The 21,270-nt window shown below is 48.0% G+C and overlaps 1 protein-coding gene across 12 annotated transcripts in view, besides 4 other annotated features; it reads left to right on the top strand.

Moving 5' to 3' along the window:
• NFATC2 (nuclear factor of activated T cells 2) overlaps positions 1 to 21,270 on the top strand; it is a 175,877-nt gene that overhangs the window by 133,937 nt on the left and 20,670 nt on the right. For 3 of the 12 annotated variants that reach the window (XM_011528826.3, XM_011528825.3, XM_011528824.3), the window contains exon 10: positions 7,424 to 14,240. The exons of the other annotated variants lie outside the window; for them this stretch is intronic. In XM_011528826.3, coding sequence (XP_011527128.1) covers positions 7,424 to 7,524 — 101 coding nt within the window. In that variant the 3' untranslated portion in view covers positions 7,525 to 14,240. Of the gene's footprint in view, positions 1 to 7,423; positions 14,241 to 21,270 lie in introns of those variants that run through there. 12 annotated transcript variants of the gene reach the window in all.
• Positions 3,269 to 3,318: an enhancer, noted in NCBI's record as "active region_18111". NCBI's record gives its function as "activates an Ori minimal core promoter by ATAC-STARR-seq in GM12878 lymphoblastoid cells {active_cell/tissue: GM12878}" and the evidence as "EXISTENCE:reporter gene assay evidence [ECO:0000049][PMID:35858748]".
• Positions 3,311 to 3,903: an enhancer, noted in NCBI's record as "H3K27ac-H3K4me1 hESC enhancer chr20:50041537-50042129 (GRCh37/hg19 assembly coordinates)". NCBI's record gives its function as "activates a minimal SCP1, AML or CMV promoter by ChIP-STARR-seq in primed H9 embryonic stem cells {active_cell/tissue: H9 hESC(primed)}" and the evidence as "EXISTENCE:reporter gene assay evidence [ECO:0000049][PMID:30033119]".
• Positions 4,790 to 5,622: an enhancer, noted in NCBI's record as "OCT4-NANOG-H3K27ac hESC enhancer chr20:50039818-50040650 (GRCh37/hg19 assembly coordinates)". NCBI's record gives its function as "activates a minimal SCP1, AML or CMV promoter by ChIP-STARR-seq in primed H9 embryonic stem cells {active_cell/tissue: H9 hESC(primed)}" and the evidence as "EXISTENCE:reporter gene assay evidence [ECO:0000049][PMID:30033119]".
• Positions 10,417 to 10,711: a silencer, noted in NCBI's record as "tiled region #9422; K562 Repressive non-DNase unmatched - State 15:Elon". NCBI's record gives its function as "represses a minimal TATA promoter and a strong SV40 promoter by Sharpr-MPRA in K562 cells {active_cell/tissue: K562}" and the evidence as "EXISTENCE:reporter gene assay evidence [ECO:0000049][PMID:27701403]".

Genomic DNA, 21,270 nt, shown 5'->3' with positions numbered 1-21,270 from the left:
AACCCCAGCGTGCTGTGCTGCCTGTGCGTGGGCATTTCTGGTCTGTCATTTATTTCCCTTGGGATTTTGCCAAAGTGGGCTTTCCTTGGAAACTTTGTAAGAGCTGGGCTTATGCGTTTTGAGGGTTGAGGGAAGGTTCTGTGGCTGGAAAAGGAAGCAGTCACCAGTGGACACACAGGTCCTCCCTCCCCCGCACAAGTGCAAACAAACCATCTTTGAAGCTGATCCCGCCCCTGCCCTGGGGTCCAGGGAAGCCCCCGGCTCTGAGTTATCGTTTCCTGCACCTTGGCCAGTGATCCCAGCGTCGCGTCTGGGCATTCCACCCCGCTCCCTCATGGGGCATCTGTGCTTTATCTCAGCCCTTCCCGCCTGCATTCCTGCACACAGACGCCGGCTGGCTTGGCCCCGTTTGTTCTTGGAACACCAAGGCGCTCCTTCTGCTTTCTCCACTCCGAGTACTTGAGACGTTTTCAAGAAGTCTCTTTGGAAAAGCAAAATAAGTAATATTCCAGGGCCCAAGGCATGCACTCCCCTGAGCCCCGTGTTTCTCCACCCACCCCAATTCAGGCACTTTCTTACAGCTCTTCAGAAACATATGGTTCATACACCGTCACTTGCGTTCTCTCTGCTGTCATCCCCCTTCCGTGACTAGTCCCTTGTTCTAAGGCCCCAAATTGTACCTGGGGAACACCAGCAGCTCCTAGCAGTAGCTGCTTCTGGGACCTCATTCTTCCCTACCTTTCTCCCCTATTCCTCTGTCCTCCCCAACCCTCCCTGTCCTTAACCCTTCCTTCTTCCCTCTCTCCCTTCCTCTGTGTCCTTGACCCTTGACTTCTCTGTCCTTGACCCTCCTTCCCTCTCACCCACTAGTATTTTCTGGCTGTCTACTCTGTGCTGGACACTGTTCTGGGACTTAGGGATCCACTAAGTGAACAAATGAAATGAAATCTTTGCTCTCACGGTGATTGTTTAGTAGGTAAGCGAGACAGACATTAGCATGGAAGGCAGTAAGTAAGCAAGCGAAATTCAGACAGCAATGAAAGCCACAGGGAAAATTCCACGGGGTTAGGAGCGAGAGGGTGGCTGCCTGGTTTGGGGGTGAGGTTGGCCCCTGCAGATGAGTGTACAGAAAGGCCACTCTGAAGAGGCGGCCTTTGGGGATGGACGCAGACCTGGGGAGGTCTGAGGGAAGAGTGTTTCAGGGAGAGGGAACGCAGGTGGCGGAGGCCGTGAACTCGGAGACGTGGGCTTGCTCCCGCAGGCTTTCAGCAGCAGTGCAGCGTGGTTTGATTTACTGTTTGAGAAGATCACTCTGGCTGCCTTTGCGAAATGGACTATAGGGAGTCAAGGGTTGAAAAAAGGGGGATGTGTGAATTGAAAACGAATCCCGTGACAGGAGCATGATGGAAGGCGGTGCATTTCACAGGGAGTGTGCCCCGCAGGCCCTGTCATGAGCGCGGTTACTTAAAATGCAACTGGAATTGCCCAAATGTGATCAATACACAGGTAATTCTCAGCTTCCCTTGCATAAAATGAGGGGCGGCTGCACTTTTTACCACTCAGGACGCAAGCAAGCGGGAGAGGCGCTGGGGAAAGTGGACTCAGAGGTGACTTTTACTAGCGCTCTGTGGTGCATTCTAGGAGCTGTGCTGACTCCACAGCTGAACTGGGGGTGCAGAGGTCATCGGGCCATCTCACCACCAAACCCACCACAGGTTTTGAAGTAGAGAGCTTACTACAGCTGCCCAGAGACTCAGCCACAGATGAGAGAACATGGGGGCAGGGGTGTGGCCTGGGACTCAAAGGAGATGTTTTACCCCGTTCTGGAAACGTCCAGAAAAGAAAGGATGTGGTCTCGGTGATGGCTGCAGCCCCTGCAGTGACTTGTGAGGATAGCAGCTTGTGTGTGTGAGAGAGAGTATATTGATGTGTGCAGGGAGGGCACAAATCAGTCTGCTTATTCTTAAATCTACTTCTGCCCTGTTCTTCATGTAAAGTGCTTAATTATGTGCACATTCAGAAATCAGTAGTGCATTCTGTATATTTCACAAGCGGGCCACCCACAGAATTGCCACCTGGATTATGACAGTCTTGTTGGCACCCCAGAAGCCCCCAGATGTCCCTTTCCCTTCTACAAAAGTGACCACCATCCTGCCTTCTAACTCCAGAGATTCATGTTGCCTTTTTATACAAACAAAAGTCAGATTTCATGACTCTTTTGTGTCTTGAGTGTCAGCTCCATCACTGACTCTGACCTCAGGCAAGTTACTTGCTGCCTTGTGCCTTCATGTCCCCATCTGTAGAATGAGACAGTCACAGTTCCTCCCTTCAAAGGCTGTGCTGAGGATGATGAGTTAGTGCATGTCAATAAAAGGGATCTTCCATAAATGTGATCTGCTGTTTTGTTTATGATTTTTTTTTTTTTGAGACAAAGTCTCGCTCTGTTGCCCAGGCTGGAGTGCAGTGGCATGATCTTGGCTCGCTGCAACCTCTGCCTCCTGGGTTCAAGTGATTCTTCTGCCTCAGCCTCCCAAGTAGCTGGGACTACAGGTGCCTGCCAGCACGCCTGGCTAATTTTTGTATTTTCAGTAGAGACATGGTTTCGCCATAGTGGCCAGCTGGTCTCGAACTCCTGACCTCAGGTGATCCATTCCCCTCGGCCTCCCAAAGTGCTGGGATTATAGCTGTGACCCACCATGCCCAGCCTTGTTTATGAATTTAATTGCCTTGATTTCTTGTAGGACATGGTTCAAATTTTAAAAATCTATTTGTGTAGGAGAAAAAATGGGCTACTCTGATCTTTGGAGATGGGCTTCCTCACCCTCATGCCCTGCTTCTTCCATGGGATAGATGAGTGGACGTAGCCCCAGAGCACTGCCCAAGGCTCCCTCCCCCCGCTTCCTCCAGGGGACCTCAGGATGTGTATCTGCATGAGGGAGATGATGTCCTCGCCGGGGGCTGCTGAGAACTCCAGTGAGTGTATCCCCTGCCATGGCTCCCTGGAGGAGTGTGGACCAGTGGCCCAGGTTTTGCCAGTTGTGCCTCTGGCAGAGGGGCCATGGATGTGCTTTGAAAAGGCTCTACGCAGAAGCTGGGTGCACCAATGCGTGAGAAACAGGCGGGGGAGGAATGAACAGAGAGACCCACCCTCCAAAGCTCAGGAAGCAGGGAAAGGAACCCAGCGATGGAAAAGTGTTTTGTAACTGGCCTGCTTTGTTCAGCAGTTCAGGGATCTTTCACTAGGGCCCCTCAGTGCCCACGGCAAGCCTGGGACAAAGCGGCTCCTGTGTGGGGAGGCGTGCAAAGCCCACGCGGAGCCTGGTCACCGCAGAGCCCTGCCGTGAGCCCGGCAGCCACGATGACCCCGGCAGGGCTGGGCCTCCTGGTGCCGACAGAGGGTGAGACACAGGGAGTCTCTGTGCTGATGAGAACTGAGCCAGGCAGTTGCCCAGCCAAGTGGCCCAGAGGCTGTGGGCACCTGGAGAGCCCGGTCTGAGTATCTCAGCGTAGGCCTTGCTGGTACACCAGTAACCACCAGAAACCGCCAGCAGCAGGTTTAACTCACATGGCCACCTGGAGCCGACACCAATAAAAGGCCAGGCCCCCGTTGGGAGGGCTTTTGCCAGCGTCCTTTTTTTGCCTTCATTTAAAAATGTATCTTTATATAGGTAATATGTTCCTATGTTTAGGAAAAATATATAAAAAAGACATCCAGCAGAAGATGTCTTCCCCCTTCTGGTCTGCTCTCTAATACTGGTTTTTCTCTAGCCTCCTAGAACATTATTTCTCAACCTTTGTTTCATTATTACCAACCCCCCACCCCCAGCCAGGAGCCTTTTAAGACAATTTTTTTCCTAATCTCCATGCCATGAAATGTCAGTGCTATAGACACACAATGTGTCTGTTCATGTACCATAGCCCTTTGCAGGGCCACAAAGCATTGTCATATGGAAGATTTTTTTCAACACCCCTCCCGCAGAGAACCAATTTTTACCCCCGTGGAAGCAACGTCATCCACCTTGAGGATGAATGCTTTAGGGTTTTTTTTTTTTTAATGTAATCCCGAGCATATGCAAATACACATGTATTCTTATTTTCCCCTTTTCTACAAAAGGTGGTAAAACGTACACACAGGTCCCCCATGGGTGGAAACTTCCGTATCACTTGCTGTTACCCACAGTGCTGACGATTTGTCCTGTACCTGTCATTTGGTCAATGGGGACCCATTCTCAGGAATTGGATGGTTGGTCTGAAGGCCCAGCCTCAGTTCTAGGATTTGTCTGGCAAAGAGTTGCTGTGGTTGTCCTGCCTGGCTCTCAGTCTGGCCTCATCACTGCCCTCTTTTGTAACTTTGGCCAAGTCACTTATAATGGTGCCCGACTCTCTGGGTTACCGTAAGAATGAAAATGGGGGCGTCCTGTAAAGCTCTTTGCCCAGTACCAGACGCGCACGGTGAGGGTTCAGTAGTTGCTGATCACTCTTCTTCCCCTAACCGCAGTGACATTTTCCTCCTCCTCCTCTTCCTTGTCAGTTGTGAGCTATAGGGGCAGGGGCAGAGCTAGGCTCTGACGAAGAGCCAGGAGGCTGACTCTTGGCCTGAATTCTCAAGTATGTTGTCAGGCTACCTCTGTAAATTCAGCAAAGGTTCAGCAAAGGATAGTTTGAGTCTTGAAAATGTCAAAGTCCAGAAAACTGTGGTTGCCTACAGAGGAGCCCACAGAATCTGCAAGAGTTGCTGTTGGAAGATCATTGAATTGAGCTGGTAGCCGTTCTCTGTCCCTCTCCTGGGTGCCTAAACGATATGCAGGTATCTGTCCCTGGGGCATCTCTCGTTTCCCTCTCTTGTTTCCCCTCCCTTTCTAAGAATGTCAGATTTCAAGCTGTGCCACTTAGCTGTCCTTTCATCCCGAATGATGTGGACTCTGCATTTCTGGCTTATGTAAGAGAGCTACGTTCCAGCCGACTCCAGACCCAGAAACGCTCAGTGATCTTTTTGAAATTCTGCAAAGCAAGTGTTTCCAAAGGAATGTGCACTTGCATTTGGAGGTCAGAAGCCACCAAACCACAAGAAAGTCCCTTCCCAGACTTGCTGTCCACGCAGCCCTCATTCCAGAGCAGCATCTTTCCTACCAAAAGCAGACAGCTCCTAAAAAAGAGGACCAAGTGAGAGGCAGCATCCAGTGTCATTCGTGGGCTCCCAGTCATCTGCTGGAACCAGCACTTTTAATTGTTCTGAATTGTTTATGCTACATTTAATTTCCAAATGAGGCTATTCTCTTGTGGTAACAGGTGAATATCCTTGTGAAAGAGTGAGGTGCTCCTTTAAGCAAGATTTATGGGTAGGTCAGCATCATAACCAATTTTAAAGGCCCTCCTTTGTAGTTTCATTCTTACTAGAACACAGGGCAGAAGGGCTAAGACTCACTTCCCTGCTCTGTGGGTGTGCTATGCTGGATGTACCATGCCAGCTACCTCACTCATTTCAGGATGATGCCGCCACTCAGGTGATGGTTTTCAGCAGCATAACTTGTGGGGCTGGAAACTGCAATGGATTTTCCCTGATTCCAGCCACAACCCAAGATAATCCTTTTTTTTTTTTTTTTTTTTTTTTGAGAGAGGGTCTCTCACTCTGTCACCCAGGCTGCAGTGCAGTGGTGCCCCCATAGCTCACTGCAGCCTTAACCTCCCAGGCTCAAGCAATCTGCCTGCCTCAGTCTTCTCAGTAGCTGGGACTATAGGCACATGCCACCATGCCTGGCTCAACTTTTTATTTTTTATAGAGACACAGGGTCTTGCTATGTTGCCCAGTCTGGTCTCGAACTCCTGGGCTCAAGTGATCCTCTCGCCTCAGCCTCCCAAAAAGCTGGGATTATAAGCGTGAGCCACTGTGCCCAGCCAGAATATCATAATGTTAAAAAATCTACATAACTTTCTAATATCAGCGCTAGCTGTAGTCTGTTTCTCTCTAGAAATGTAGAACTTGAAAAAGAATTTGGTTACTTTAGTCTATGAATTGGGTGGCAGTTACTCAACTCATTTCATACACTAGATTATTCTCTGTGCTCCTTCCCTTCCCACCCTTGATAAACCCATTTTGGATCAAGGGCAAAGCTTTGTTTTCCCAGGGGAAAACCCACAAAGAACAAATGAAAGCCCCCTGCCCTGAAGTAGCTGTGGTTGCCAGTCATTCCTAGACTTGAGATTTGGGTGTGTTTTGGTGTGTGCTGCCTTCAAGTAACATTCTGGACTCTCTTTTTGCTCTGAACCAGTTCAACTTTGTTTTAGCACCAATTTTCCTTTAGTTTCCACCCTTTCAGAAAAAAAAAAAAAAAAGAGGGGTTTTCTTCCTGGGGAATGATGAAACCATTTATTTGGCTCTTCTCTGCTGCATTTTTGACACCTCTTTAATTTTTTATGGATCCAGGGATCTGGTCAAGTTGTGCCTGTGAATAGACGCAGGGCTGGGGCCTGTTTTGCCCATCCAGAGTGTCAAGAATCTTTCTCTAGATGAAGTCAAAGACAAACTGAGGGCTGAATTTGAAGGAGTCCGTTCTGGTCCTCAGCAACAAATTCTGCTGCTCTCAGGTTTGGGGATGACATCTGTCTCATCCCTTTAAACAGTCATAAAATCAGATCTCTGGCAAGGCAGCCGAAGTGGATTCTCTGGTCATTTTATGATGAGCCTTGAGCACCCCAACTTGGTTTTATGGCAGGACTGTCTGTTGCGAGCAGTTTGGACTTAAGTCCCAGGCTGTCTGCAAACCAACAAATAGGTTTCATCTGAAGCCTGTTAGTTCCACTATCCCAGGAAAGCTGAAAGGACACTCCCTCGTTGTTAATTTCCAAAACTCTGGGCAAAGTAGAGGTTCTGTTGCATAAGCTGATGACGTGGAGGACGCCTTTGAAATGTTCCGCAGCCGGTTCTTATAGATTTCTGGAAGTTGATGGTGTCTTTTGAATTCTCAGCTTTATTAAATGCCCAAAAAAGAATTGACCCAAACTTGATGAAAGCACCCTCTCCCCAACTGGATTGAGTTGTGGTCTGCTTCAGCACTTGGAAAAGGAGCGGCCAACTGGTGCTCCATGGGCTGCATTTCGCCCGCAGATATTTTGTTTGGCCCACACGGTATTTGAAAAAATATTTTGATTAGATGCCAGTGTTGAAAAACCGGGGATTGCACATAAAAATAGGGATTTCTGACTTTGCTTAGAAAATCCAAGGATCTAGCCACCTTGGGCCCCACCTCCTGCATGGCAGCTACTGGGAGTCAAAACCAAGGCTGGCCCTGAGCAGAGGCTACTTCCTTTAGTTGGAACATCCACTTGCTCTGTCCACAGCCCCCGCCATTCCCTTTTGTCTTCCGACGATAGGTGGATTGTCCATTGTTATTTATCTTCACACTTGTTTTGTTGTTCCTCTTAGACTTCACCGATTTCACTCATTCAGGGTTCCTATCTGGACCCATTAGGCGTTTGAATTGTGCCCCCATTACGGAAGTGCCACACATATCCAAGGCTCATTAATCCAGGACCTGCATCCGGCCGGGGCCTTCGAAAGTGTTCCCTCCCTCTACCTTCCTTCCCCTCCTTGTGGCTGGGGAAGATTTTTAAATGGGGGTAAGATTTTAAAACTTTTAATTAAATATTTTGAACATATGTAACTATAGCATAGTACAAGGTACCCCTACATACCCACCACGAGGCTTCAGCTGTTATCAATGCATGGCCAATCTGATTTCTTCTACACCTTCATCCTGTTATATTCATTACCTGGTAATTTTGTTTTGGGGGTTTGTTGTTATTAGTTTTTTTTGTTTTTTTTTTTTTTTAAGACATAGGGTCTTGCTATGTTGCCCAGGCTGGAGCATAGTGGCTATTCACAGGTGTAATCATGGTGCACTGCAGTGTCGATTTCCTGGGCTCAAACAATCTTCCTGCCTCAGCCTCCAGCATAGCTGGGACTGTAGGTGCCTGCTATGGTGCCTAGCTACACAGCAATATTTTGAAGCAAATCCTAGACATCCTATAATTTCGTGTAGAAATAGCATGTATCTCTAAAAAAAGGACTCTGAAAGTACAAGACCACTAGCACACATGGAAATTAATAATACTTCCTTAATATCATGAAATACCTAGTGTTTAAACTTCCGGTTGTCTTATATATAAATATCATAAAAGTGTTTTCTTCTTTGTTTTTATTATAGTTCATTTGCGTCGGGAGTCAGACCAAGCGTTGCAAGCAGATGCCTTTGTTTTAAGTCTGGTTTGATGGGGAGGTTCTTCCCCTAGATTAAATCTAGAGGTTCTTCCTCTAGATTAAATAATAAGATCCTTTTTTGGTTTCATCATTAGTATTATATTGCAATTTATTTGTTGAAAAAATGAGGTTGTTTATCCTGTGAAATTTTTCAGTCTGGCTTTTGCCAGTTATATCTCCATGATGAGGTTTTTAGTGTGTTCCTGTCTCCTCTGTATGTCCTGTAAGTTAGCAGTAAAACTGAGAGGCTTCATTCATTCAGATTCAATTGTTTTTGGCAAGATTGCTTCATGGGTGATGACACATCCTTCTGACAGGAGGTACGTGGAGTTGGGTTGCCTGTCTTTTGGTGATAGTCAGTGCCTTGCTCCATTAATTCAGTGGTGCATGAATTATAAAATGGTGATATTCTATTCTAATTCTGCCATCCCTTCCTCTACTGTTAGCTGGAAAACTTCTATAAAGAGAAACTTTCCTTCATCAACAATGATAGAATTCATATAGGAAAAGCAGGATGAATGCTTGATTCTTTCCCTTTATTTACCAGTTTTTAAAATAATGGGTTGGTTCATTAATATCTTACAGTGATGATCCATTACGGTTGTTTGTGTGTAGTTGCTTTTTTTTTTTTTGGTACCATTATGAACTCATGAATTTAAGCATAATTGGTGTTTTAAGATTTTAATGGGCTTTTTTTTGGTAGTTCCTTTTGTCCTTATCATTTGAAGGACTGAAATAATATGACTTCCTGTCCTTTCTTTCTCTGGCTTAGCAATGTCCTCAGATATTCTGAAGCCTGAGGGAGGAAATAATCCTACATGTGAACTGAGGATCACATCTCCTACACGTGAGAAGGGGAAATCATGAAATCCCTCTCGAATGCCAGCTGCTGAGATACTCCTTGCGGTGTTATGGAGTCTTTGAGCGTGATTCCAAAGCAGTTAGTGCTTGCAAGGCAGGGGAGGTTATTGGGAGGATTATTAGAGGGTATTGATTAGGATGTAGAGGCTGCTGTAACCAAACCCAAAGTAACAATGACTTTAACAAGATAGATGATTTCTTCCTCTTGTAACAGCACAGGGATAAGCAGTCCATGGCTGGTATGCTGGCCCCATCATACCAGGAACCCAGGCTTTTTCTGTCTTATCACTCTCCATTCTCAGGATGGTACCCTCATCTGAGTCATCCAAGATGGCTCCTGGATGGGAAAAAAGAGGAAGGAGGGCACGCCCTTTCCTTTAAGGGCGTAACCCAGAAATCACATTTATCCCTTCAGCTAATACTGTATTGGCCAGAGTCTTGTTATGTAACCACACTGAGCCACAGAGGAGGCTGGGAAGTATAGTTTTTATATTTATATTACCCAGTCATGTGCATAGCTGAAACCTGCTACTGTGGAAGACAGGAGAATGGATTTGGGGTCTTTGTGCAGGATAGATATGATCATAATGAGAAAACAGCTGCAAAAGGAGGTTGGATATTTTGTATGACTTGATATTCTTAGGAGTTTCTTTATTCCACAAATATTTATTGAATCCCTACTGTGTGCCAGTGAGGACACAGCAGCATGTGAAACAGAGTCTCTGCCTTCAGGGAGCGTACTTCTTAGTTGGTGAGACAAACAGTGAAATAAATATATATTATAATGTCAGGTGGTAAATACGTACTATAAAGAAAACCTAGGGCGGTGGGGGTGGCTCACGCCTATAATCCCAGCACTTTGGGAAGCCGAGGCAGGCAGATCACTTAAGGTCAGTAGTTCAAGACCAGTCTGGCCCAACATGGTGAAACCCCATTTGTACTTAAAATACAAAAATTAGCTGGATGTGGTGGCATGCGCCTGTAATCCCAGCTACTAGGGAAGCTGAGGCAGGAAAATCCCTTGAACCTGGGAGGCAGAGGTTGCAGTGAGACGCAATCGTACCACTGCACTCCAGCCTGGGGGACAGAGCGAGACTCCGTCTCAAAAAAAAAAAAAAAAAAAAACCAAACAAACAACAAAAGAAAACCTAAAACAGAATGAGGGTGAGGCCTTAAATGTCCAGTTATTGCCAATTTTCCCCAAATTCAGGAAACTCCTCTCCTAACGGTCAGTCCAGGAATCTCAAAACATTTTCTTATTACCTTTTCTCTTGAAGCAAGTCTTTCAGCTTCAGCACTACTGACATTTCGGGCTGGATTATTCTCTGTTGTGAGGGGCTATCCTGTGCATGAAAGGATGTGTACCAGCGTTCCTGGCCTCAATGCACCGGATGCCAGTAGCACCCCAGATGTGGCCATCAGAAATGTCTGCAGATACTGCCAAGTATCCCCTGGGGGGCAGAGTTGCCCCTGGTTAAGAACCACCATCTGAAGGATTTAGTGTCCAGCTCTGGTAGAAGTAACAGCTTTATAATATTGAGTGCTGACCACACCATGTGTGTTTCGGGGAAGGAGTGTCCACTCTACAAAAAGATTGTTACTGGTGGACTGGAGCATTCCTAGCACTCTCTGAGTGTGGGAAGCCACCGGGAACTAGTGTCTCCCCATGGCACCGCCTGTTCCCTAGTACAGCACCCAGGACAGGGGCCCCAGGGTCAGAAGATGTTGCTGAGTAGTTAGTGTCAAAGGAAGCTTGATTCAGAGCCTTCATTCTTCCTTGCTTGTGGCCTTGGGCGAGGCATGTGTGAAAAGTGACTTACGGACTGCCCGGTGCCCCGCGGGTACCAGGGAGGGCTGATGCTGTGATGTGGATGCCGCCTCCTTTAGCATTCAGCTGGCAGGCTGGCTGCCTCGGGAACTGCTCAGGGGGCGTGTTGCTGAGCATTTGCTTTTTTGGTTTGTTTCTTATCAACTGGTGTTCTTTCCTTCTTTGAACAGATATCCACTGAGTATGTAAAGTGAGCTGGGCTTGGTGGTAGGTGCTGGGACACAGAAGTGAACCAAATGGATGGGGCCTCCCTGCTGGCAGAGCTTGCTCTGCAAGGGGAAGGCTGTTCATCAAATGTCAACCAGAAAATGATGAGAATTTCAGATGTTGGGGGTGGAGACTAAGTGCGGAGTTCAATAAAGTGACGATGGGGACGGGCATAACTTCAAACGGGGTGGTCAGGACCAACCTCTTTGAGGAAGTGACTTTGGATTTGAGACCGGGAGGAAGAGAGTGAGGGGAAGGAATTCCAGGCAGAGGGAAGAGCAAGCACGTAGGGCAGAGCTGGGAGGAAACGTGGTTTGTGTGGAGGACAGAGAGAGGTCTGGTGTGGTTGAGAGTAATGACGGCGGCGTCATGGAAAGGGAGCATGGAGGGGACAGGCCTCGCGGGTTGAGAGCTATGGATTTTATTTTGGGAGGAAGGGGAAGCTACTGGCAGGTGGAAGGTTGAAGTTTTGGAGGGAGTGTGTTTGCCAGACTGACAAGTACAGGAAATATTGTAACAATGCTAATGATCCCTCCCCCTTACTGGGCGCCGTGGAAGGCAGGGATGGTCATCTCTGCATCTTAGATGTGAAAGCAGGCTGAGAAAAGGGAGGGATTTGTCTGAGGTTACAAAGCCAGAGGCACAGGCAATGGGTGGTTAGAGGCACGTGTGTGAGAAGTGATTCTGAGTCCACGTATAAAGAGAATAGGGCATTTATCCTGGGCTGCTCCCCCTGCCTTTTCACTCCTTCATCTGATGAGACTCCAGGAAACTGGCTTTTGCCCCAGACCCACTGATCTGACCTCCTCCTGGGCCCTCCATGTGGATTCCCTGCAGGAACCTCACATTCAACCAGCGCTAAAGTGAATTCTTGCTACTGCCCCTACTGTCCCTCTGGCCCCCATGCTCAGCTCCCATCTGTTGCCTAAGGAACTTGGGGGTGTGGCCTTAGGTGAGTTACTGAATGTCTGTGACCTCAATTTCCCCATCTGCAAAATGGGGATATTAGCAGTGCTTGAGGTTTAAAGGAAATGATGTATGAGAAGTGAGTATAACCAGGTCAGCCACACAGCACTCCATAGAGAGCAGCTATCAGCTTCATCATCTTCTTAGCCTCATCTTTATCTGTCCAGGGCTGCAGAAATGTCTTCATCTCTGCACTTGGGATGTGCCAACCCTCCTTTAATATCTTCTCACCAGTTTTTGGCCCCCACGTAGCCTCTCCCAGATTTGAACGGGCCCTTTATTCCAGACAGATGTGAAACCCCTTCATCATGGCTTCCTGTTTGAGGGAGCAGCCCCTTCAGCCAGACAGAGTGAGAAGCCAGGAGCTGGCACCCTGGGAATCCCAGGTGGGTGCTGTGCCCTACCCAGGCAGAGCCGGCAGGTCCTCTGAGTCCTGAGGGTCCTGGTCTGGTTCCTCTGTTTTCTCTCTGGACCATTTCAGAACCAATTCCCTCAGCTATCTCTGGGATTTTTTTATTTTGAGACAGAGTCTCACTCTCTCTCTCTCAGACTGGAGTGCAGCGGTGTGATCTCGGTTCGCTGCAACCTCTGCCTTCAGGGTTCAAGTGATTCTCCTGCCTCAGTCTCCAGAGTAGCTGGGATTACAGGAGTGTGCCACCATGTCCGGATAATTTTTGTATTTTTAGTAGAGACGGGGTCTCGCTTTGTTGGCCAGGCTGGTCTTGAACTCCTGACATCAAGTGATCCACCCACCTCGGCCTCCCAAAGTGCTGGGATTACAGGCACGAGTCACCACACCTGGCAGCTATCTCTGGGATTTTTAAACTCCTACTGTTTTCTTTTTCCCTGGACTTCCTATTATCTGAACATCATTATCTGTATTTGGTGCAGGATTGTTCCAGACCAGGGTCAGTTTTTCCTCCTGTGAGACTGACAACATTGGCAAGAAAGAAAGGGAAAGGAGGAGGAGGAATGGAAGGAAGGGAGGCTGATAAAGTGCGGTATTGGTGAGAGGGTGTGAAACATGTCCTCTCAGTCATTATTGGTGGGCATCTGCATGGGTAGAACCTCTTTTGAAGGGCAATTTGGTGAAATGAACCCAAATTTAGAATGCACACATCTTTTAATCCAGAATATCCCACTTCTAGAAATGTATCTTTAGAGGTGTGCTGGCCCAGCTGTGAGCCAGGCTGGCTGTTGATTCCATGTCACTGGTCCCCAGCCCTGCACAGTGTTCTCTGGCATGAAGCTTGGTGACTTCAGGAGCTCTTGGTTTTCCTGGATCCCCAGAGACAGGTGGTGGCCAACTACTCAGGGACCACAATAAGCCTCATCTGTCTTCAGGAAGCCGGGTCCATCCAGATACCTGCTGCGTGTGGTGTGTGGGATGTTGACTCCAGCCTTGTCTATAGTAGCAGGAGACTAGAAACAGGCTAAATGTCTGTTAATAAGATGCAGACACACAAGGAAATACTGAGCAAGAGTAGAAGGGAGACTTTCTCCTGATTGTGTTTTTAGAATTTTTTTTTTTTTTTTTTGATACAGGGTCTTACTCTGTCACTCAGGCTGGAGTGCCATGGTAGGATCATGGCTCACTGCAGCCTCAAACTCCCAGGCCCAAGTGATCCTCCCACCTCAGCTCCCCAAGTAGCTGGGATTACCAGCATGTGCCACCACACCTGGCTAGTTATTTTTTGTAGAGATGGGGTCTCACTATGTTGCCCAGGCTGGTCTCAAAACTCCTGAGCTCAAGGAATCCACCAACTTTGGCCTCCCAAAGTGCTGGGATTACAGGCATTAGCAACCATGCCCAGCCCCTAGGAGAGAATTTTTAAAAAGAAAGGGGCAGATTTCAGGTCCTAGAAATGACCCCAGAGGCTGGAGTGAAAATGAGGATTTAGAAACAGAAACCTTTCTGTTCTGGTTGGGGCTGTGTTTCCGGCTGTGTGTATGCATGATCAGCCTCGCCCACCCCTCAGCTGTGAGGGGAGGATGACTGCGGCTGTGCGGAGGCTTTCTTGCCTCCAAACCTTTGCCCATGCCTTAACCACCGCCTGGAAATCCTGCTCTCCTGTGACTTTTTTTTTTTCTTTTTTTAACAGAGTCTTGTTTTGTTGCCCAGGCTGGAGTGCAGTGGCACAATCTCTGCTCACTGCAACCTCTGCCTCCTGGGTTCAGTTGATTCTCCTGCCTCAGCCTCCCAAGTAGCTGGGATTATAGGTGTGTGCCACCACACCTGGCTAATTTTTGTATTTTTAGTAGAGATGGAGTTTTGCCATGTTGGCCAGGCTGGTCTCGAACTCCTGACCTCAGGTGATCCGCCCACCTCGGCCTCCCAAAGTGCTGGGATTACAGGCGTGAGCCACCATGCCTGGCTCTCTGCTGTGACTTTTGAAATCTGGCCAGCGTTCCAAGGCTCTGACAATGTCTCTGCTCTGCACCTGGAGGGTTTCTCTCTTGCCTTGAAGTCCTGGAAATGAACATGGTCTCTTTCAGGTGTTTCCATTTATTTATTTATTTATTTTTTCTCCCTTGCTCGAGTCTCTGGGTAGTGAGGACAAATGCTGTGACTTGTCTGCACTGCTGACTGCCCCTGGGCTGGCTTTGCACATGGGAAGCCCTTGACAACATTTGCTGACGTCCACCCTTTGCTCAAAGACCTGGCTCAGCTTCCTGCATAAAAGGTGCTCACCCAATATTTGTGGTATCGAATGAATAACCAGGCATGAAACTGAGAACCGAGACTGCCTGGGTTTAAAATGATTTAAAACTATTTGTCACAAAAGAACAATAATGATAATAGCAGCTCATGCTTAGATGTTTACTGTTTACCAGACATTCTTCTAAGACTTTGCTGCATTAGCTCATTTAACCCTCATGGCAGCCGCAGAGGCATTTTATAGATGAGGAAACTGTAGCCCAGGGAGGTTAAGTAACTGGTCCAAGGTCCCACAGCAAGTGAGTACATTTGTACATGTTCTTTAGTTTTGTTTTTAATTTTAAAATTTTTATTTAATATTTTTGGAGGGGACAGGGTCTTGCTCTGTCACCGAGGCTGGAGTGCACTGGTGCCACCATGGCTCACTGCAGCCTTGAACTCCTAGGCTCAAGCAATCCTCCCACCTCAGCCTCCTGGGTAGCTGGACTATAGGCGTGTGCCACCACTCCTGGCTGTTTTTTCTTAATTTTGTAAAGACAGGGTTTCACTATGTTGCCCGGGCTGGTCTTGAACTCCTGGCCTGAAGCAGTCCTCCCAGCTCAGCCTCCCAAAGTGCTAGGATTACAGTATGAGCTGCCACACCCCGCCTCTTTAGGTTTTTTTGAAAAAAGATGCCATATGTTTCTTTGGGAGTTCAGGAGTGCAAATAAAAACCTCTAGCATCTGCTAACAAGATTTGCCAGTGAATAAACCCTGAGGAGACAGACTGTGTCCTGGTCCTAGAATCAGGCTGTTATCTCTTCTCAGCAGGATGGCTTTGGAACCCAGGGCCCTCTTAGTGCCATGCAGTCCAGCCTCAGAGGGCACAGTGGATTGACAGAGGCAGATGCTTGGGGGACTCCACAGGCCAGGCCGGGGCATGACCTCAAAAATGTGCTGGCCACTGGGCCGGTGAGAAAATCGATTTCTCACCTCCAGCCAGCAGTGCTGCCCAGCACCGGGTCATCCTGCAGTTGTTGTGACAGCAAACCCGAGTGCCATGGAAAGGATTGTGAAACCCGGGAGCTGGCTGCCTGGAGAGCAGGACACTGTACTCGGCTCCATGTGTTTGGCGGGGAGGGGGGGGGGCGGCGGGAGCGGGGGATGGGGGGGCCGGGGTCGGTGGGGCGGGGGTGGGGTCGGCGGCCTCATCCTGTGCTTCTCCTTCTCCTTCTCCTGTGCTCCTTGTTGTTCTGTTGTGCTTGGCACCAGCTTGTTTTGGACACAGAAGTACTCCTTTTGCAGGGAGACCCATGAGATTGCACCCCCTTTGCATGCCAAACGTCTAGCCCAGCTGGCATGCACCCCTGTTCTGAGGGCTGCGTTCCAACTCCCTGCTCCTCCCGAAGATAGCATCCCCGTGGACCCAGCTGGCAGAGAGTATGAGGTGGCCGGGGACGCCCAGGAATCGGGCATGTGAGCCGGCCAGGGTTTCCCTCTCTAAACAGCAGCAGTGTTTGCATCCTGGCCTGGCCAGGGTGCTCCCGACCAGGCCAGCGGGGCCTCCCTCCTGCTGTGGTTACAGGCTGTTTCTGGGGGTGGAAAACAGAAACCAGCTCTGTGTTTTCCAGGCTGCCAGGGTTCTGAGAAATTCATGCCTCAGCCCAGGAACTGGAACTCCCTGCTCCTGCCCACCCCCTGGCCCGTGTGGAGAAGGGGGCAGCAGCTCTCAGCATGCTAGTTTCCTGTTCTGTTCCTATTAGGGAGAAGGTTCTGAGGATGGCCTTGTGACTCAGAATGCAGACGGCTTGGCTGCATCTAAGAGGGCCACCCCTTTTGGTCGCAGACCCCTTCCCCAGTCCAATCACCCCCAGCTGTGTGATGCCAGAGTGTGCCAGTCATGGGGGCTCACACCAAAACAGGCTCTGGCCAGGCCTATCCTGGAAAGAATTCCCTAAATTCAAACTCCAGATCTTATAGCCCTTGGTTTCTTATTATCAGAGTTCTTAGCTGTTCAGGGTCCCCTCTGTAAGGCTGGAAGGGGAGCTGAAGGGAAAGCAGTTAAGTAAATTCCTGCTGGGTGGGTGTGATAATGGGGTTAGGGCTCCCTCCTATGGGGGCCTTGAATTTCAAAGAGGGGCTCGCTCACCCTAATGGGGCTCTTAATAGTGATGTTTTCTCACTGAGGTTGGGACCTCTGCTTTGGAAAGTTTGGCATCCTGGCCCAAATTTCTTGCACTTTGGTCAGTTCTACTCAACACATCTGCAGAGTGCCTACTGTGTGCCAGGCAGAAAACAAGTCAAAGAGCATTGCTTCAGGCCAGGCGCGGTGGCTCACACCTGGAATTTCGGTACTTTGGGAGGCCAAGGCAGGTGGATCACTTGAGGTCAGGAGTGCAAGACCAGGCTGGCCAACATGTTGAAACCTTGTCTCTACTAAAAATACAAAAACTAGCTGTGCGTGGTGGCACACGCCTGTAATCCCAGCTACTCAGGAGGCTGGGGCAGGAGAATCGCATGAACCTGGGAGGCAGAGGTTGCAGTGAGCTGAGACTGTGCTACTGCACACGAGCCTGGGAGAAAGAGCAAGACTCTGTCTCAAAAAAAAAAAAAAAAAAAAAAAAAAAAAGACAATTGCATTGCTTCAGGACCTTGCACTATGGTTTGTAGTGTGGCCAGGTGTAGTTATACTGTGTGTGTGTGTATGGGTGTGTGTATGTGTGTGTGCATGGATAAAGAACACTGGGGCTAGTATGGGCAGGAGAAATAATTAGGTTTAATCAGGTCCTCCTTGAACTTCAGTGGTTAACTCAGGGTCACTTTAGGCCTGAAAAAAAGCTTCTGTCTTTACTATTAAATGAAATGTTATCAGCAAGGCAGGAATCCAGGGTAGGCCCTGGAACCAGAACTTCTGGATGCAAATCATTGCTCGGCCACGTGCTACCTGCGTAACTCTGATCGAGGCCCTTTGCCTCACTGAGCCTTGATTTACTGAACTGCAAAATGGGAGTAATCATTATAACACTTACCTCATGGGTCACTGTGAACATTGGGTGGGTTAGTACATGTAGATTGCTTAGAACAAGGCCTGGCACAGAGTAAATACCCAGTAGATACCAAATACCACCACTGCCACCACTATCATTATCACCATCACCACTGTCATCTATCAACACCTGCTTCCAGCCAGGTAAATTGGTAGGTGCTGGGTGAATGGAGTGAGGTTCCTGCTCTGTGGTTCATACAGTCTAGTAAGGAAGAAAAAAATGCCAGAAAGAAATAGATTTCAGCTGGTGACACATGCCATGAAGAAAAGAAACAGGGTGCTGGGGGAGAGACTTTAGACAGGGTCATCAAGGAAGGCCTCTCTGAGAGGTGACACTCTCCTGCCCTAAGTGTGTTAGAATGCTCTCTAGATGTGCCAGGATGTGCAAAAATACCAGCTCTTGTATGGTGGGTGCAAAGGAGATCTGTCTCCTTTTGTCTTCCTTCTCTCCAAATAATCCCTTCCCCACTGCCTTCCTTCCCTCTCTTCCTCCCTCCTTCATTACCTTCTTTCTTCTCTCTCCCTCCCTTTCTCTCCCTCTTTCTCTCCCTCTCTTCCTTTCCTTTAAATAATAAATTGCTTTTATTAAATGCATATAAATATGTTTAAAATATATGTGAGTACACAAACATACTGTGTACTTACCCCTCCCCCTAAGCTTAAAGAACAATAGGATAGTCATTTCCTCTGAGCTCTTCTGCGTAGAAAATGTTTTCTGGCAAATCTTTCAGTTACATTTTTCTAAAAGATGACTTTAAAAAAACAGTTTTCCCCTGATATTGTTATCACACCTAAAAATGAAGAATTCTTTAATATTATCAAACTCAGTGTTCAAATTCTCAATTGTCTCATAAATGTCCTAATATTTCGCTTTTTTTTTTTTTTTTTTTGAGACAGAGTCTCGCTCTGTCGCCCAGGCTGGAGTGCAGTGGCATGATCTCGGCTCACTGCCAGCTCCGCCTCCCGAGTTCACGCCATTCTCCTGCCTCAGCCTGCCAGGTAGGTGGGACTACAGGCGCCCGCCACCACGCCTGGCTAATTTTTTGTATTTTTAGTAGAGACGGGGTTTCACCGTGTTAGCCAGGATGGTCTCCATCTCCTGACCTCGTGATCCGCCCACCTCAGCTTCCCAAAGTGCTGGGATTACAGGCGTGAGCCACTGTGCCCGGCCATATTTCTTTTTGTTAAAGTTTGTTTGACTCTGGACTCAAGGAGGGACCAGATATTGTGCTTGTTTGAAATGTCTTTTCAGTTTCTTTTGTCTGCTCATACCCCACATTCATCTGTTCTCTTTGCCATCTTTGTACTGAAGAAACCAGTTCGTCCTGTAGAATTTTCTGTAGTCTGGGTTTTGCAGGTTGCAGTCGCATACTGTCGTCTGACACGTGGCTCTGTCCTCGGTATTTCCTGTAAGTTGTCAGTCAGATCTGGAGGCTTGATCCAATTCAGCTTCGATGCTTTTGGCAAGACTGTCCCATCGGTGTGGCGTGTTCCTCCGTCAGGAGGCAGGTGGGTCTGGTGGGCTCATCTCTGAGGTTCACAGCCATGATGCTCAGTGATTCTGGATACAATTTCAAACACATCCTCTTCATTCACACCTTAGCATAATTGCTACCCTGAATTTTGTGTTTGCCACTTCCTTTTCATTTTCTTTGTAGATTTCACTCATTGTCTTTGCTTTAGCTGTAATTCTTTCCTTTTCTCTGCTGCATAATATTCCATTGTAAAGCCTATTTTTCCATTCTGCTGATGGTGGGCATTTGATTGTTTCCAGATTTTTCCTCTTTCTGGTTACAGGCAGTGCTGTCTGGAATGTTCTTTCGCTGTCTCCTGGTGCTTGCACACAGAGGACTTTCTGTAGGGTTATACTGACAAGCAGAGTTGCATGGTCACAGGGTGTACACACACTTCCAACTTTAGTAGACGATACCAAATTGTCTTCTGAAGCAGTTATACCAGTTTACACTCCCATCAGCAACACATATGTAATTCATTGCTCTACAACCTCACAAAGTTTGATACTGTCAGACAGTTAAATTTTTTCACTTAGCTGGTACATGTAAAATGATGTCTTTCGGTGAACAGAAAATTTTCATGTAGTTAAATTTCTTTTCTGAAAGGTGTGAGTTTTCTGGGTGTAGTTTAGGATGATGTGTTGTCAGGTCACTCAGGAGCTTGTTAGAAATGCAAATTCCCACCTCCACCCCAGTCCTGCTGAATTAGAAACTCTGCCAGCGAGACCCACAGTCTGTGCTTTTACAAGCTTTCCAACTGATTCAGAGGTTCCCACCAGTTTAAAGCAGTGGGTCAGAAAATCTTTCTCTACCTTGATGTCACAAAGAGATTCTCCTATAGTGTCTTCCAAACTTCTTGCAGTCTTACCTTGTACCCTTGGGTCTGTAATCCACCTGGAGTTGATTTTTATGTCCAGTATGAGGGAAGGTTCTAATTTCACTGTTTTTTTGTATGGATAACTAGTTATCACCAACCATCTATTCAGAAGATGTAATCTGTTGGTGTTGTAAATATCTTTCCCATGTAAGTGTGGGCCTCTTTCTGGGCTCTGGCTTTTTTTTTTTTTTTTTTTAAAAAGAGTCTTGCTCAGTCCCCCAGGCTGGAGTGCAGTGGCGCGATCTCGGCTCACTGCAACCTACGCCTCCTGGGTTCATGGGATTCTCCTGCCTTAGCCTCCCGAGTAGCTGGGATTACAGGCACACACTACCACACCCGGCTAATTTTTGTATTTTTAGTAGAGATGGGGTTTCCCTATGTTGGCCAGGCTGGTCTCGAACTCCTGACCTCAAGTGATCTGCCCGCCTCAGCCTCCCAAAGTACTGGGATTACAGGCGTGAGCCACCACACCTGGCCAGTATTGAATTTTTATGGTGTTTTTTCAAAGGCTGCTAAAAGTTATCTTTCATACTAGAAATAAAGAGCCACTTCTCACGAGGCTCACTGTCCTTCCCAGCCACCGACCCTGCCACATGGGTGGGAAATGCTTGAGAAACTGGCTTTGGCCTTGTGGTCCACCTCTCCCTCCCCTGGACACTCAGTGGCCTGAGCGGATGGATGCCCAGGGTTGGGCCACAGAGGACTTTGGTTGGAAGGCTGGCCCTCCTGTCTCTAAACAGCTCAGGTTTCCTGAGGATCTGCTGCTCTTAAAACCTGCTTCCTGCTACAGTCTTTTCATGGGCAATTTCTAGCCATGTCCCAGTTGGCATATGAAATAAGCTCAGGATGGAGATATTCACAAACGAAGAAACAATTTCTCCTTCTTTAAGTTGGACCGAGTGGAAAGTGAAGGCTTAGGGTTCCAGACTCCACGGTTCTCGTCCTGACCCCGTCTGCTCAGCAGTTGAATAAGCCTTCCAAATGCCAGGCACGCGGCTGGGTGCCCTAGGGGCTGTGGGCCTCTGCAACTTTGGGATCAGGATTTCACTAGTTAGCAGGGGAGATGGGGTGCCAGG

Source organism: Homo sapiens, chromosome 20, assembly GCF_000001405.40.
Source record: "Homo sapiens chromosome 20, GRCh38.p14 Primary Assembly".
Lineage (NCBI taxonomy): Eukaryota > Metazoa > Chordata > Mammalia > Primates > Hominidae > Homo > Homo sapiens.
The sequence above is the reverse complement of the archived record's forward strand: the minus strand, read 5'-3'. Positions and strand labels throughout refer to the sequence as shown.